Source organism: Homo sapiens, chromosome 17 (assembly GCF_000001405.40).
Source record: "Homo sapiens chromosome 17, GRCh38.p14 Primary Assembly".
In the NCBI taxonomy this organism is placed as follows: Eukaryota; Metazoa; Chordata; class Mammalia; order Primates; family Hominidae; genus Homo; species Homo sapiens.
In genome coordinates, this window is record NC_000017.11 from 64,560,350 (window position 1) to 64,578,188 (window position 17,839).

The following is a 17,839-nucleotide window of genomic DNA, read 5'->3' on the forward strand; positions in this document are numbered from 1 at the left end:
AATTCCACAGAAACTGTCAAGTCCTAAGTATGATGTACAAGGGATTATTTTTAAAAATCCACACTAAAGAAACTATCCATCCGTAGGTTTAAAAGGTGACAGAATGAAAATAAGGCTACAAATACACACATGTAATGCTAAATAACAATTAATGGGAATTATTGAAAACATAATTTTGGTTGGATTTAAGATTAGGGAAAGCAGAATTACCACAATGATCCTTGGAACATTTCAATACAGAGCTACAGTGTTTCTCCATTTATATAAAACGAATTTTCACACATAGAAAAGAATTCTTGTAGTAAATATAATATCAGAAATAAATCACTGGCTGGGTGTGGTGGCTCACACCTGTAATCCCAGCACTTCGGAAGGCTGGGGCAGGCAGATTGTTTGAGCTCAGAAGTTCGAGAATAGCCTGGGCAACATGGCAAAACCCCATCTCTACAAAAAAAAAAAAACAAAAACTAGCCGGGTGTGGTGGCTTGTACCTGTAGTCCCAGCTACTCAGGAGGCTGAGGTGGGAGGCTCTCTTGAGCCCAGGATGGGGAGGTTGCAGTGAGCTGAGATCACGCCACTACACTCCAGCCTGGGTGACAGAGGGAGACCCTGTCTCCAAAAAAAAAAAAAAAAAAAAAAAGAAAGAAAATTAATTTGACTTGACCTGTGAGTTACAAATGTAGCAGAAGCATTCTACCTTCTGTACTGAAACATTCTGAGGACCATCATGATATGTACATGTGTATACACACATGCATGCATACACATTCATTTAACAAGGAAAAAAGGCATAACAAATGGAAGCAAAGAGAACCAGTATTCAGTTCAGGTTATATATCATTTAAATCTCAAAACTGTTCCTGACAATGTAAAGCAGAGGCAATAATGTACTTAAAGAGAGAGATGGAGAAAACACAGGGCCTGCAGTCTCATGGGACTCAGATGGTCTACTGGGGAGTTCCAGAATACTTGTCCGGTAGCAGTGCCACCCTAACCTCATTATGAATATATCTATTAGGATATCCTCAGTGATACAAACATTAGGGAATAACAAAAAATAAATGTCGATGAGAAAGTTACACCACAGGAAGTAGCTTAAATTTGTAAGTACAAAGATCCATATGTCATAAGCTGGCAAGCAAGTCCATACCTGGCAACGCCTCCATAGTCAAGGCCTTCTTCTCCACGAAATTTTATCATTAATCGCTTCCAGAGATCTTTTGGTCTCATTTTCATGACCTGTCGATATGATTCCTGAAAAAAATAATTTTTAATACCCTATTACTATTAGGTCCTTTTAGCCTATTACTTAATCTCTCCCTGCCAATCCATCCAAAAAACTCAAGTCTAAATAAGGTGAAATTTGGCCAGGTGCAGTAGCTCACACCTGTAATCCCAACACTTTGGGAGGCTGAGGCAGGAGGATCACCTGAGGCCAGGAATTCTAGACCAGCCTGGGCAACATAGTGAAACTCTGTCTATACAAAAAGTTTTTTCTTAAATAGCTGGGCATGGTGGCATGCACCTGTAGTCCTAGCTACTTGGAAGGCTAAGGTGGGAGGACTGCTTGAGCCCAGGAGTTCAAGGCTACAGTGAGCTATGATCATGCCACTGCACTCCAGCCTGGGTGACAGAGCAAGACCTTGTCTCTTTTTAAAAAAGAGGCCAGGTGCAGTGGCTCATGCCTGTAATCCCAGCACTTTGGGAGGCTGAGGCGGGCATATCACGAGGTCAAGAGATCGAGACCATCCTGGCCAACATGGTGAAACCCCATCTCTACTAAAAATACAAAAATTAGCTGAGCGTGGTAGCGTGTGCCTGTAGTCCCAGGTACTCAAGAGGCTGAGGCAGGAGAATCGCTTGAACCCAGGAGGCAGAGGTTGCAGTGAGCTGAGATTGCGTCACTGCACTCCAGCCTGGCGACAGACTCCGTCTCAAAAAAAAAAAAAAAAAAAAAAAAAAAAGAGAGAGAGAGAAAAATTAGCACTCTCGGTATTCTTGGAAAAGAGCATAAAACAAATTTAACTTCTAATTTTTTTTTTTTTTTGAGACGGAGTTTCGTTCTTATTGCCCAGGCTGGAGTACAATGGTACAATCTCGGCTCACCGCAACCTCCGCCTCCTGGGTTCAAGTGATTCTCCTGCCTCAGCCTCCCGAGTAGCTGGGATTACAGGCATGTGCCACCATGCCCAGCTAATTTTGTATTTTTAGTAGAGATGGGGTTTCTCCATGTTAGTCAGCCTGGCCTCGAGCTGCGACCTCAGGTGATCCGCCCACCTCAGCCTCCCAAAGTGCTGGGATTACAGGCGTGAGCCACCGCACCCGGCCAATTTCTCTCTAATTTAAAATAAGGTTTGTATTAGCAAGCAATGGGTTTCTGGAAAAAAAAATAGTAAAACAAAATAAGGCTCGTAAATTTACCTCAAAAATCTCTTCCCTGGAAACCTCAATGCGGCAATGACCTGCCTGAGGCTGTTGTTGGGAAAGTTCTTGCCGCAAAATTTTTAGTTTCTGAACCAGGTCTCGCTTGTACCTTGGGACTGTCAGGCATTCTGTGTCATCAGGACATAACGATACCACTTGCTGTTGCTGTTGGTCTTTCAATTGGTTCTGCCGACTAGAAGTAAACATAGATGTTATTATTAAAGTATATCAAATTTTAAAAATTGCAATTATAGATTTAAAATAGCATCATATTATAAAGCAAGTCTAGCTCTATCATTTTCCAAGCCTTAGTAGAACATATACTTGGCTTGACATTTTTTGGCAGCAATAAACCAGCTACAAAGTTTATTTCTCATAGTCCACATAAACTGACAGAATTGGATAATGGAATTTTATCCATAAAGCTTTATACAGCTTCTGAGGACAAATTTTTCCAATATAGCTTCCATTTTCCCCTACAGAGTTTACCATCACCCACTTTAAAATTCAGGCATGTGCCAAACACTGCTTGTTATCTAGACTCTTTCTTTCTGGAAGAGCCAAACAGGAGTCTGAAAGGCAGCTTGGCAGGGATCCCTTCTTTTTATACACCAGGCCAAATATTATACCTAAAACATATGACCATACAAAGAAAATACACCTTTGTTTAAAATGCCAAGTCAATATTAACTACTCTTACAAATACTATAATAAAGATGTTTTAACATACACACAAAATCAAAACAGATTACCGTGTACATAAATGCATTCCATAAACAACTGTATAATCTTATTTTTTAAATGAACTTGGGTATATTTCATATCAGATACAAAAAGTAACTCAAAATGGACTGCAAACATCAATGTAAAATCCAAAGCCATAAAACTTCTAAGCACAGGAGAAAATTTGTTATGACATACATCAGGCAATGAATGATTTCTTAGATATAACACCAAAAGCACAATCCATGAAAGAACAAATGGATAAACAGAACATCCATTTTTAAATTTTTTTTAAAGAGGCAGGGTCTTGCTATATTGCCCAGGCTGGCCCTGAACTCCTGGTTCAAGTGATCCTCCTGCCTCAGCCTCCTGGTAGCTAGAACTACAGGCACCCAATACCACCCTCAGCTTAAAGAAAATTGCTGCTCTTCAAAAGACACTGTTTAGGAAAACTAAAAGACAAGTCAAGTCATAGACTAGGAAAATTCCTTTGGAAAGCATATATCAGATATGTAAATATCTAAAGAAGCTCAAAACTCAACAAAAAACTGAGCTGCTCGATTTGGGAGGGCTGGGGGCATGGCAAAAGATTCTGCCAAAGAAGCCATTCTACTCCTAGGTTATTTATTTAACCAAGAGAAATGAGGGCATATACATACAAAGACTTGCACATAAATGTTCATAATAGTTTTATCTGTCATAGCGAAAGACTGGAAACAACCCAAATGCCCATCAGTAGATAAATGAATAAACTGTGGTATACCCATACAATGGAATACCACCAACAATACAAAGAAATGAACTATGTAACAATGATGAATCTCATTATGTGAGTAAAAGAAATCATACTGCATGATTCCATTTATCTAGAAAATGCAAACTAATATACTGACAGAAAGCAGGTCAGCAGTTGGCTGGAGATGGGGTGTTATGGGTTGAGCTGTGTGTCCCCCAAAAGATATGCTGAAGGCTCAACATCTGGTCAACCTGTGGATTTGACCTTATTTGGAAATAAGGTCTTTGCAGATAAAATTAAGGTGAGGTAAGATCATACTGGATTAGGATGGCCTTAAATCCAAAAACTGATGTCTTTATAAGAAGAGGGAAATTAGGATACATACATACAGGAAAGAAGACTATGGGAGGACAGAAGACAAAGACTGGAGCAATTTGTCTACAAGCCAAGGAACACCAAGGTTTCCAGAAACCACTGGGAAGTTAGGAAAGAGGCATGGAACAGATTCTCTCTCAAAGCCTCTGGAAGGAACTCATTATCACTTACTATAGAGTCAGCCCCTTACCCTGTAGTTCTGCCTCCAGAATTGTGAGAGAATGAATTTCTGTTGTTTTAAGCCATCCAGTTCGTGGTATTTTGTTACAGCAGCCCTGGGAAACTAACACAGGGTGGAAGTCCCACAGGGAGGGACAGAAGAAATCACAAAAGGGCAAGAGAAAACTTTTGGGGGTGGTGAATATGTTCACTATCTTCACTGTGGTGATGGTTTCATGGTGTATATCAAAACTTAAACTGTACACTTTAAATATTCAGTTTATTGTATGTCAATATATTTCAATAAGGCTGATTTTAAAAAATCCAGCAGATATCAGGCCTCTTCACAAAGCCTCCTGTGAAAGACCAAGCCATGCAAATGGAAAGGTGGCTTAGAGCTGAAGGACAAAAACGGACACAGGAGAAAATCCTTCTGGGATGTGGGCAGCTAGCCTGGAACTATTGTTCCTGATGCACTCAGGGAAAAAAAAAATCTAACTACCCAATAAAGCAGCCTGTCTCTTCAGGTGTGCTAGGGTGCAAGGGGCAGTTCTGTAAGGGCTGATGTGAGAGTGCAGGCCAGGAAACAGTGGGGGTGCTGGTCTATCCTTTAGGGCCTCTGCCAATGTCTAAAGGCTTTATCAAACAAGCAAATGATTTTCTTGAAATCAAGTAGATCTGATAAGCAGGGAAAAGACTCAAATTGTAATCCCCTTGCCCATAAGTCATCTTTTTCTTTAAAAAGAAAAGCTTCCTTTAAGGGTATAAGGCAGAATATCTTCATGCAATGCCAGTCAAAGGAAGGGAAATAAGTAATTAGTGTTACTGGAATCAAAACATGAAGGGAAAAAAAAAAACCTCCATAGTCAGACTGGGTGGATTCAAATCCCAGCTCTAGCACCTTTTATGCACCTCTGGACAAGTTCTGTAACTGCTTGAGGCCCCATTTTTCTCACTGATGAGAAAGAGGTAGCCCAGGATTGCAATGAAGATGACATGGGCACTCAGAGCATGGTAAGTGCAAAATAAATATCAGTTACTATAGCTACTATTAAGATAGTTACTGAGTTACAAAAACATGCTTTTCAAGCAAAGGAAATAAAAAAAAAAACTGACTAAAATGCTTTCTTAGAAGAATATGCTTCCTTGGCAAAGTTATTTATTAAACCCCAATGGCAATGTTTTGCAATATAATTTATATTCTAATGACATTTTTGCCAAAAAAATTTCCAAGAGAGAAAAACAATAAAAACCATAATAGATGTACCAAATAAGGTAATACTATATTTGACGGCTCATAGACATAGATTCAAAACTCCGTTAACACTTGTCTAAAGAAAAACCCCCCAATTTAAAAATCTTTAAAAAATAGAAATCAAACATTAATAGAAAAGATACTTCTATCCGACATATCCTGATATGTAAAGATTAATAAATTAACTGTTATAATTTAAAATTAGTGCCTTATGAATCTTTTTAAAACTACAATTTTAAGATTAAAATTGTTTCTTATGTATCTCAATAAATTGTTTCACATATAAATTATATACTACATTACATAGCTGAATAAAAACTAATTTATCACTTTAAAGTTAATTTATGACAGAAACTTTAATGCTGCAAATAATTTTTATATATTTTATGTAATGTAACACGAATATAAACCCCAGGGAGGATCTATCAGGTTAGGGACTTTACCGAACTAGTAGCTGGAGTTGTGAAATCCTGTCCTTAAGAAGAAAAAAACAAAACAAAACAAAACAAAAACGGATGTAGAAATGCTTAAGCTTTCTGGTTTTTTTTTTTTTTTTTTTTTTTTTTTTTTGAGACAGTCTCGCTGTGTTGCCCAGGCTGGAGTGCAGTGGCGCAATCTCCGCTCACTGCAACCTCCGCCTCCCAGGGTCAAGCTATTCTCCTGCCTCAGCCTCCCGAGTAGCTGGGACTACAGGTGCCTGCCACCATGCCCGGCTAATTTTTGTATTTTTAGTAGAGACGGGGTTTCACCATATTGGCCAGGCTGGTCTCAAACTCCTGACCTTGTGATCCACCCACCTCGGCCTCCCAAAGCGCTGGGATTACAGGCGTGAGCCATCGTGCCCCGCTGACAGAGAGTTTTTTTTTTTTTTTAGATAGAGACTCTGTCGCCCAGGCTGGAGTACAGTGGCGCGATCTCAGCTCACTACACCCTCTACCTCCCAGGTTCAAGGAATTCTCATGCCTCAGCCTCCCGAGTAGCTGGGATTACAGGCATGCACCACCACGCCTACTTTTTTTGTAGAGACAGGTTTGTCATGTTGGCCAGGCTGATCTCCAACTCCTGGCCTCAAGTGATCTACCCGCCTCGGCCTCCCAAAGTGCTGGGATTACCAGTGTGAGCCACCATGCCCAGCCTTAAGCTTTTTCATAGCACAGTAACTTGAAATCAAAGATATTGAAGAGAGGAACAAATTAATACTAAAATACAAAAATGTTCAAATGAAAACTTTCTATTAGGAATATGTATAAAACTTCCAGATAATGCAAATGCTGGCCATATTAATGGAAACTAATCAACAAAATTGGAAAACTAACAATTATAAGAAAACTAGTCAAATGTTCTTCAAGTTACTTCCTGTCATTTACTCCAACAAACAGAAAAGACAACAGACATTTCTAATCATCCCACCTGTAGTTATTCCTTCAGAACATTATTTTTCATTCAGTTATTTAATACAACTAACTATTCAGCAAAAAGATGGAAGATCTGTAACTGTTCTACTGAAATATTCTACTGGCAACATCAAGGCAAACATCTATTACCTAAAGCAGAGATGTCCAATCTTTTGGCTTCCCTGGGCCACACTGGAAAAAGAACTGTCTCAGGCCACACATAAAATACACTAACAATAGCTAATGAGCTGTTAAAAAAATCTCATAATGTTTTGCTTTGTTTTTGAAACAAAGTCTGGCTCTATCACCCAGGCTGGAATGTAGTGGTGTGATCTTGGCTCACTGCAACCTCCACCTCCCAGGTTCAAGCAATTCTCCTGCCTCAGCCTCCTGGGTCCCAACTAGCTGGGATTACAGGCACCCGCCACCACACCTGGCTTTTTTTTTTTTTTTTTTTGAGACGGAGTTTCGCTCTATTGCCAGGCTGGAGTGCAGTGGCGCTGTCTCGGCTCACTGCAAAGTCAGCCTCCCTGGTTCAAGCAATTCTCCTGCCTCAGCCTCCCGAGTAGCTGGGACTACAGGCGTGCACCACCACACCCAGCTAATTTTTTTGTATTTTTAGTAGAGATGGGGTTTCACCGTATTAGCCAGGATGGTCTCGATCTCCTGATCTTGTGATCCACCCGCCTTGGCCTCCCAAAGTGGTGGGATTACAGGTGTGGGCCACCGCGCCTGGCCTAATTTTTGTATTTTTAGTAGAGACGGGGTTTCACCATGTTGGCCAGGCTGGTCTCGAACTCCTGACCTCAGGCAATCCGCCCGCCTCAGCCTCCCAAAGTGCTGGGATTATAGGCGTTGAGCCACTATGCCTTGCCCACATAATGGTTTTTAAGAAGGTTTACCAGCTTGTTTTGGGCCACACTGAAAGCCGTCCTGGGCCCAGCCTAAGGGCCGTGAGTTGGACAAGCTTGACCTAAAGGGATGATCCTGGAGGCAGGAGGTAAATAAAGCACAACCACCTCTTGGAGGCTTCCTGGGCCTCTCAGAGAGCCATACTGGCTCTTGATTACCATTGTACATTTGTCAAGTACTTTGGGTATGTTACATACTAAAGCAGCAAAAATAAATGGGATACACGTCTTCTTAAGTAATTCAAAGTCTAGTAGGGGAAGCAGAAAGGTAACAAACAATTAAGATACAAAAGTAAAACAAAAGCCCTCTGTAGAGTGCTCCAACATCTTTTATTCCTTATCATCTCCCCAAATTCCAATTTGCTGCCCCTATATGCCCTTTAAAAAAACCCAGGCCGGGCACAACGGCTCACACCTGTAATCCCAGCACTTTGGGAGGCTGAGGCAGGAGGATCACTTGAGGCCAAGAGTTGGAGACCAGCCTGGCTAACACGGTGAAACTTCGTCTCTACTAAAAATACAAAAATTAGCTGGGCGTGGTGGTGCGCGCCTGTAGTCCCAGCTACTCAGGAGGCTGAGGCAGGAGAATCGCTTGAACCCAAGAGGCAGAGGTTGCAGTGAGCTGAGATAGCACCACTGCACTCCAGCCTGGGCAACAAAGCAAGACTCCATCTCAAAAAAAATTCCAGAACTAGGCGTGGTGGCTCACACCTGTAATCCCAGCACTTTGGGAGGCCGAGGCGGGCAGATCACCTGAGGTGTCAAGAGCTCGAGACCAGTCTGGGCAACGCGGTGAAACCCCATCTCTACTAAAAATACAAAAATTAGCTCGGCGTGGTGGCAAGCACCTATAATCCCAGCTAACTTGGAAGGCTGAGGCAGGAGAATTGCTTGAACCCGGGATGTGGAGGTTGCAGTGAGCTGAGATCACGCCATTGTACTCCAGCCTGGGTGACAACAGGGAAACTCCATCTAAAAAAAAAAAAATCCATACACAAAAGTAAAGTCCACATGGATTAAAGACTTTACAGTAAAAGACAAAACTATAAATGTATTAAAAACATTTACTTGTAGTGTGAATTTTAGAAGATAAAGATTACATTAGAAAAATAGGCAAAAAAGATATAAATTAACAAAAAAAGTTGATGCAGCTGGTCAATAGGCCAAAAAAAAGCTGTTCAAGCTCAATAGACAATGGCAAAAAATTGTGAACAGGACCTTCACAAAAACAGGAAATCCAAATAGTCAATAAACCTATAAAAAGGTGCTCAACCTCATCAGTAATTAGGAAAATTCAAGTTAAAGTTACAATGGGAAACCATTAAACATCATCAGAACAGCAAAAATTTTGAAGTCCAACAACAGCAAGTACTGGCAAGCTTCTGCAGCAACAGGAACTCATATATTGCCGGTAAAAGACTAAACTGGCATAGCCACTTTAGAAAAGTTACCTTTATACATTAAAGTTGAAGATAGAAATATTCTACGACATAGCAATTCCACAACCAGGCAAGCGCCCTAGAGCAGTGTTACTCAAAGGGTAGACTGCAGATGACACTTATTTTGCTATCTAGGCTATAAAGACCCTAATGCACAGAAACAGTCCATACTTCTCTGTTTCTTCAGATACTTTTACATTAGGGCTTTCAAATACTTGCGACCTTCATTTGTAAGCAAGGTTTTAGAATCTTCTATCTACAATAAAGTAAGATCTGCTGACATAATGAGACTGCCAGGATAATTATACATATTTCGAAGAAGGAACCAAAGATACACATTTTCAATGTTTTCTCCTATTATCCTAAAAAACTGGTAGCCAGTTCTCATTTAAATTTTTTGCTTTATTAACCTAACTCCAAAAATTAATGAAACAAGGACATTTTCAGAAGTCATTTTAAAGTATATTATTATTTTTGTTGTGTTTTTAACATTTTAACATACATAAGAACTTTACAACAAATGAATAAGACAGAGCAGGTAATGTCACCATTCATTTAGAGAAGCTAAAATGAATTATTCAGGGGTCAGAGTGAACCTTGCTCTCCAAGTTCTTAGCCTAAAATCCTTGTTGCTATACCACTCTCAGTGTTTTTGCCAGAAGTGTTGAAAAAGACACTTTGCTACTTAGCTTAGTAATGAAGTTTTCCTGTTCTCTCTTTTCCTCCTCCTGCCCCCATTCTTCAGAAGGCAATGCTAATAAGTAACAGAGTTAGAAGAAATGAGGCAGCTAGAGAGAAAAGAAAAGCAAAGGATGCAAATAATATACACACAATACTCAGTATAGTGCCTCACAGGCAGCTGAAGCCAGAGCATCCTGGTTTCACTCCAGACTTCACCACTGGCAACGTATGGAAAGTCATGTAACCTCTATACCTCAGTTTCCTCATCTGTAAAAATGGCAGTAGCTAACTCACAGAGTTTTTCTGAGGATGAAATTACGAACTTGGGGTGTTTTTGTTTGTTTGCTTTTTAAAGACAAGAGTCTCACTCTGTTGCCCAAGCTAGAATGAGTGGCGCGATCACAGCTCACTGCAGCCACGACCTCCTGAGCTCAAGAGATCCTCCCACCTCGGTGTCCTGAGTAGCTGGGACCACAGGTGCGCACCACCATGACCAGCTAATTTTAAAAAAATTTTTTGAAGAGAATAGGACTCACATGTTGGCCAGGTTGGTCTTGAACTCCTAGGCTCAAGTGATTCTCCAACCTCAGCCTCCCAAAGTGCTGGGATTACAGCATGAGCCACATGCCTGGCCTTACCAACATATGTAAAGTATAAAGAACAATGCTTGTCACACAGTAAGTGCTACTAAGGTGTTAGCCATTAATATAAATTATTAATAATTTTGTATTACAATGGCAACACAAAATTAGCCTGTTCAACCCCTACTTCTCCTGTCAAGATATTGCCTCTGTAAAAGGCCATCTTGAGCACCTCTAATAACCCTTTTCCTAACATTCCAAGACAGGTTCCTACCTAAAAGCATAGTAGGTTTAAAATACTCATATCAGAGTAAACCTTGTCACACTCTTACATAAATTTTGCTCAATAAAAGTAAATTATAACTGATGAAAGTAGATGTTCTTTCATTTTTTAAGAGACAGGGTCTCCATCTGTCACCCAGGCTGGAGTTGGGGTGGTGTGATCATAGTCCACTGCAGCCTCAAACTCCTGGGCTCAGGCGATTCTCCTGCCTCAGTTTCCCAAGTAGCTAGGACTGCAGGCATACACCACCACACCCAGCTAATTTTTTAATTTAAACAACTTTTTTTTTGTAGAGATGAGGTCTCACTATATTGACCAGGCTAGTCTCAAACCCCTGGCCTCAAGTGATCCTGCTGCCACGGCCTCCCAAAGCACTGGGATTAAAGGCGTGAGCCACTGTATCGAGACTCACATTTATTATTAAAAGCATCTATGCGTTTCATCATGTTTAACTCCCATTTTAACATGTATTGTTTCAAAAACTTACTTTAAAACTAAATGCAAGTTAGCAGACAGCCGAGGATCTGTAAATTGTGTTGTTCTGTTGTTATGGTCAACGAAATAAACTCTGCCTGTTGCCGTATTACGGATCTCCCATCCAGGAGGCAATGGACCAAGCTCTTCACAATTGATGTTGCTAAGATCCCTGCAAAAACAAATATAAAATAAAAAATACCTCATTGCTCGCCCTGCTGAACCAAGCAAGTGTAAATGACACAGAACAATTCCACAAAGTGTGAGAAAATGTATTGTTTCAGAAACTTGAGATGTTCAGCTGGAATCTTTAATTCCCAATGGTTTAACAAACTTTCATCTTCAAAGCCCAATCCATAAATGGCTCAGAAAAACTTATCACATAGCCTACATTTTTTAGTAATTTCCTAGGCTTTAATGTAATACAGATTTAAATTAATATAAAATCAATCCCAATATTTGCCAACATAAACTGTATTTCAACACGTGTTTGACAGGAAGTAATTTTACAAGTGTCAGTGACATAAAGAATTAAATGCTTTCTAAAATGTCCCTTCATTTCTTTACTATACCATAAAATTTGCATAAAATGTCCATTCCATAATTTTAAGCTCGCCAACAAAGCAAAACTGGAAATGTTACTGAAATTATGATCCTGAAAATAATCACAGCATATTTTTAAAGAATAAACTGCAATTCTAAAATCTGTAAAGTTAGTCAATGAAGAACCTGTTTAAGATACATTACCAAGAGTGCTCTAAGGGTTACCACTGCAATAAGAAAAGCTAAGATTTTTAATGGACCAAAGACTATTGCTATTATATTATACATTCTTAAAATACTAGTATATATAGAGAAGGATTAATAGGGCCTTAAAGAATGAGTTAAGGAGCTTCCAGGTTGGTGAACACACTGAGGTACTGGACGGTGGCCTGCCCAGAGAGGGCATGGTAGCTCCTTGCCCTCCCCCCATACTGTGTCCTAAGCATTGCTTCCATTTGGCTGTTCCAGAGTTGTAGCCTCTGTAATAAACTGGCAATAGAACTGCAAATTCTTATCCTCTACACTGTTAGAAAAAAATATTTCAGTGAAGCTTCCAAAGTGTGGAAATTGCTGTTGTCATCCACCAGAAGAGAAAAGTCACTGCCCTTGGTGACATAATTGAGACTGCGTGTAACAATGTATGATATGATCAGGTCATTTCCTGCCTTAAATGAATACTTTAGGTTACCAGAGCCATGTGTAAATACCAAAGAAACGACATACTCTGAAAGTGACCAAGCAAACTCAAGCATCTAGATAGTAAAACTGTTTTTGTGGTCCTCTTTTTATTAAAAAAAAGAGGAGGAGGAGGAGGAGGAGGAGGAGGAGGAGGAGGGGGAGGAGGAGGAGGGGGAGGAGGAGGAGGAGGAGGGGGAGGAGGAGGGGAGGAGGAGGGGAGGAGGAGGAGGGGAGGAGGAGGAGGAGGGGAGGAGGAGGAGGAGGAGGAGGGGGAGGAGGAGGAGGAGAAGATAAAAGCAGCATGTTTATGTAAATTTAAATTGTAACAGATAATTATAAGTAATCACAAATTTCATCAAAACCACATTTTAAAAGTTATACTAGAAAAATGTTTTTCCTGAGATGACTTCTCCTTAGTCACAGTGAAACCAATGATGGGCACACAGGGACCTATATTTGCCAAAGCAATCATTCTGACTTCTGCTATAGGTGTTCCAAGAGACTCCTGCTACAGAACAGCTAAAGTGTAGGAAAAAACACCATTTGAAACACTGCTAGTCTCAAAAGAGGCAAGGGAAAGTTCCAAGAATTCTCCTCAAATTTTAAAAAAAAGGGAGTTCGGGGGACTGAGTAAAGATGGTACCTGAGTGGCAGGTAGGCAGAAGGGCAGGCCAGCAGCAAGACTGGGATAGGAAACCTGAAGCTTCCTCCCCAAGCTGAGAACTCAGGGAGTTCAGCCTCCCAAATTCAGCCTCCCAAAGTGCTGGGATTATAGGCATGAGCCACTGCACCGGCCCCAAATAGATTTTTAATGGTTTAGAAATGAAAAACAGGAGCTGGAGGACATTATCCTTAGCAAACTAAAGCAGGAACAGAAAACCAAATATTGCATGTTCTCACTTATAAGTAGGAGCTAAATGATGGGAACACATGGACACATGGAGAGGAACAACAGGTACTATGGCCTATCAGAGGGTGGAAGGTGGAAGAAGGGAGAGGATCAGCAAAAATAACGAATGGGTACTAGGCTTAGTATCTGGGTGACAGAATCATCTGTACAACAAACCCTCATGACACAAGTTTACCTATAACAAACCTGCACATGTACCCCTGAACCTAAAAGTTAAAAAAAAAATTAAAATAAAAAATGAACAATTCTACTGATAAAATGTAGAATTTCATTTCATGTCATTTTATTTAGAATTTTATAAATCTACAGTCATACACGGGAGAGTGCTAAAGCACTGATTAAAAGAGCAAAACACTAGAAATAATCTTTATGTCTCACTGGGAGCTGGTTAAAGAAAAATGGAATGTTATACAGTCATACAAAGTAACACAGATCTGTATTTCAAGACTACAGTCACTCAGTATGCAATATAACAAATAACAAGGCATTAACCATTGTTTTAAAGAGAAATGCAAAACATGATGAAATGAGATTTCTTGGATAAATCTAGGTATCCTGGATATCTTTAAATAAAGTTTGTTTTAAAGAGTCTGACTTTGCAATTTTATAAATATCTTCGAATAGTGATATTGTAATAGAAACTAAATATTTATAGTATACTTTCATAAAAGATCTTCCATACAAAAGGCATATTTGCTAAAGGATCCTCCAAAACAAAAGATGTAAGTTTTTAAGGTAATTTGGGGGATACAGAATAAGAAAAATAATCCCAAGTGTTATTTCATAAAATCATCATTCAAAATACATGTCAATACTCAACATGAGATATTCTTAAAGCTTCGCAGAAATCCTTTACTCACTAATAAAAAACTGACATGTTTCCTCTGGAATAAGAGCCTGTTACCAACAGTGGTGCTGAAATCTGTCTCAATTTCAATTTCTGTTGCCAGCTTACATACTATTCTTTCAACATGTAACTCAAGGTCAACTTTCTCACTATTGTAAATCATTTAGTTAAAAAAAATGATCATTGTTATTCTATACATTTCCTACAAGTAATTTCTAATTAATTTAAAGAAAAGCTTATTATTGACCTTCAACTAGATAAACAGAATCCAAAAAGCTTTTTACAATTTATATAATAAAACTGATTTTGAAAAGTTAGGCCCTTGGATTTTTTTTTTCTTTTTTTAGTAAGCTTAAAAAAAAAAAAGTAAAATTTCCTCCCCACTACTTTTTATCTATTTATTTTTTTAGAGATGGGGTCTTGCTCTGTTGCCGAGGCTGGAGTGCCACGGTGCGATCTCGGCTCACCACAACCTCCACCTCCCAGGTTCAAGCAATTCTTCTTCTTCAGCCTCCTGAGTAGCTGGGATTACAGGCACATGCCACCATGCCTGGCTAATTTTGTATTTTTAGTAGAGACGGGTTTTCACCATGTTGGCCAGGCTGGTCTCAAATTCCTGACTTCAAGTGATCCTCCTGCCTCAGCCTCCCAAAGTGCTGGGATTACAGGTGTGAGCCACCGAGCCCGGCCCCCACTACTTTTTAAAAACTAACAGCTTATATTGTCAAGACATGGAAATGGCAACCTTGATAAAGTAATGAGTAATAGCACATTCCCTTGGTTGCCACCCTCAAAGAATTCTGAGCTCTATAACACAAAGTAAGACATTTTCATAATCACAGTTTTATTTATAAATAGAGAGTATCAAAGCAACCCAAGACTAGCTAGTCACATCTGTTTTTTATTCAAATACACAATAGAGTCCTGAGCATAAGCTTTAGGCAGGAAAAAAAAACAACCTTCTGTGGGTTGTTCTGGGGGTTTGTTTTGGAGGAGGGGCGCTGCTGTGCTTAACATAAAATATCCACATCCTACAAATCCTTTGTATGTGCAACATACAAAGTTGATTTAGAATTTAATTTAGAATTCAAGCTTTTTTCCAGTTGTAACTGGACTACTTGGTACTTTGCATCTGTTCATTAAAAAATAACTCAAAATAGGGCCAAGCATGGTGGCTCATGCCTGTAATCCCAGCACTTTGGGAGGCCGAGGTGCACAGATTGCTTGAGCTCAGGAGTTTGAGACTAGCTTGGGCAACATGGCGTAACCCCATCTCTACTAAAAATACAAAAATTAGCGGGGTATTGTGGCGCATGCCTGTAGTCCCAGCTATTCAGGAGGCTGAGGTGGGAGGATGACTTGAACCCAGGAGGCAGAGGTTGTAGTGAGCCAGGACTGCACTGCTGCTCTCCAGCCTGGACAGCAGAGCTAGATCCTGTCTCAAAAAAAAGAGAGGGAGGGAGGCAGGGAGAAAACAATGTTCCAAAAATTATGGTAAATCACTAAATTTATTTGTGTGTCATTTCATCTTTTTGAAGTTAAAAGTAATTGACATTTTGGTTAGGAAATGCAATATCTGCAGCTGAAATACACAAGTTTGGATATTTAAATTAAATTAGGGCCAGGCACAGTGGCTCACGCATGTAATCCCAGCACTTTGGTAGGTCGAGGTGAGCAAATCACCTGAGGTCAGGTGCTCAAGACAAGCCTGGACAACATGGCAAAATCCCGTCTCTACTAAAAATACAAAAATTAGCTGGGTATGGTGGCAGGTGCCTGTAATCCTAGCTACTCAGGAGGCTGAGGCAGGAGAATCACTTGAACCCGGGAGGCGGAGGTTGCAGTGAGCTGACATTGCACCACTGCACTCCCGCCTGGACAACAGAATGAGACTCCATCTCAAAAACATTAATTAATTAATTAAATTACGTTGTTTTCTAAAAATGGAATTTTATTAAGGAACACATAACAGAACATTGAATGCATTTATGAGGTTAAATTTTTCAAAGATTTTTTTTTAAGCTGAACCATAATTAAGAATATCAACCTACTACCCGTTTTTAAAGGGTATGTGTTCCGTTATTCCCCAGGTCAATTTTCTTTTTCTATCCTTTTTTTTTTTTTTTTTTTTTTTTTTGAGACGGGTCTCGTTCTGTCACCCAGGCTACAGTGCAGTGGTGTGATCTCAGCTCACTGCAACTTCCGCCTCCCACTTTAGCCTCGCGAGCAGCTGGGACTACACGAATTTTCTTTCTCTTTTTTTGAAATGGGGTCTTGCCCCAGCCATCCCATTACTGGGTATATACCCAAACGATTATAAATCATGCTGCTATAAAGACACATGCACACGTATGTTTATTACGGCACTATTCACAATAGCAAAGACTTGGAATCCACCCAAATGTCCATCAATGATAGACTGGATTAAGGGCACATATACACCATGGAATACTATGCAGCCATAAAAAAGGATGAGTTCATGTCCTTTGTAGGGACATGGATGAAGCTGGAAACCATCATTCTCAGCCAACTATCGCAAGGCCAAAAAAACAAACACTGCATGTTCTCACTCATAGGTGGGAATTGAACAATGAGAACACTTGGACACAAGAAGGGGAACATCACACACCAGGGCCTGTTGTGGGGTGGGGGGAAGGGGGAGGGATAGCATTAGGATATATACCTAATGTAAATGACAAGTTAATGGGTGCAGCACACCAACATGGCACATGTATACATATGTAACAAACCTGCACGTTGTGAACATATACCCTAGAACTTAAAGTATAATAAAATAAATAAATAAATAAATAAATAAAACACTAAAAAAAAAAAAAGAGAGAGAGAGAGAGAAATGGGGTCTTGCTCTGTCATCCAGGCTGGAGTGCTGTAGCACGACCAAGGCTCACTGCAGCTTCAACCTCCATGGCTCAAGCAATCCTCTTGCCTCAGCCTCCCAAGCAACTGGGACCACAACAGATGTGCTCTACCACATACAGCTGATTTTTAATCTTTGGTAGAGACCAGGTCTATGTGGCTCAGACTGGTTTCAAACTCCTGGGGCTCAAGTGATCCTCATGCCTCAGCCTCCCAAAGTGTTGGGAATACAGGTAAGAGCCACCTGCTTGGTGCCCTAGGACAAATTTCAAACTCCTAAAAGATCCATGTTTTCATTCCACTTTTTTTTTTTTTTTTTTTTTTGAGACAGAGTCTCGCTCTGTGGCCAGGCTGGAGTGCAGTGGCGTGATCTCAGCTCACTGCAAACCTCCACCTCCCTGGGTTCAAGCGATTCCCTGCCTCAGCCACCCGAGTAGCTGGGATTACAGGCACGCGCCACCACGCCCAGCTCATTTTTGTATTTTTAGTAGAGATGGGGTTTCACCATGTTGGCCAGGATGGTTTCGATCTCTTGACCTCATGATCTGC

At 40.2% G+C, this 17,839-nt stretch overlaps 1 protein-coding gene across 4 annotated transcripts in view; it reads right to left on the reverse strand.

The window, feature by feature from the left end:
* SMURF2 (SMAD specific E3 ubiquitin protein ligase 2) overlaps window positions 1-17,839 on the reverse strand; it is a 120,026-nt gene that overhangs the window by 18,068 nt on the left and 84,119 nt on the right. For 3 of the 4 annotated variants that reach the window (XM_005257585.4, NM_022739.4, XM_047436546.1), the window contains 3 exons: window positions 11,449-11,607; window positions 2,422-2,617; window positions 1,151-1,254 (listed from right to left, as the gene is read on the reverse strand). In XM_005257585.4, coding sequence (XP_005257642.1) covers window positions 1,151-1,254; window positions 2,422-2,617; window positions 11,449-11,607 — 459 coding nt within the window. The remainder of the gene's footprint in view (window positions 1-1,150; window positions 1,255-2,421; window positions 2,618-11,448; window positions 11,608-17,839) is intronic. The other variant, XR_007065425.1, reaches the window with a different exon arrangement.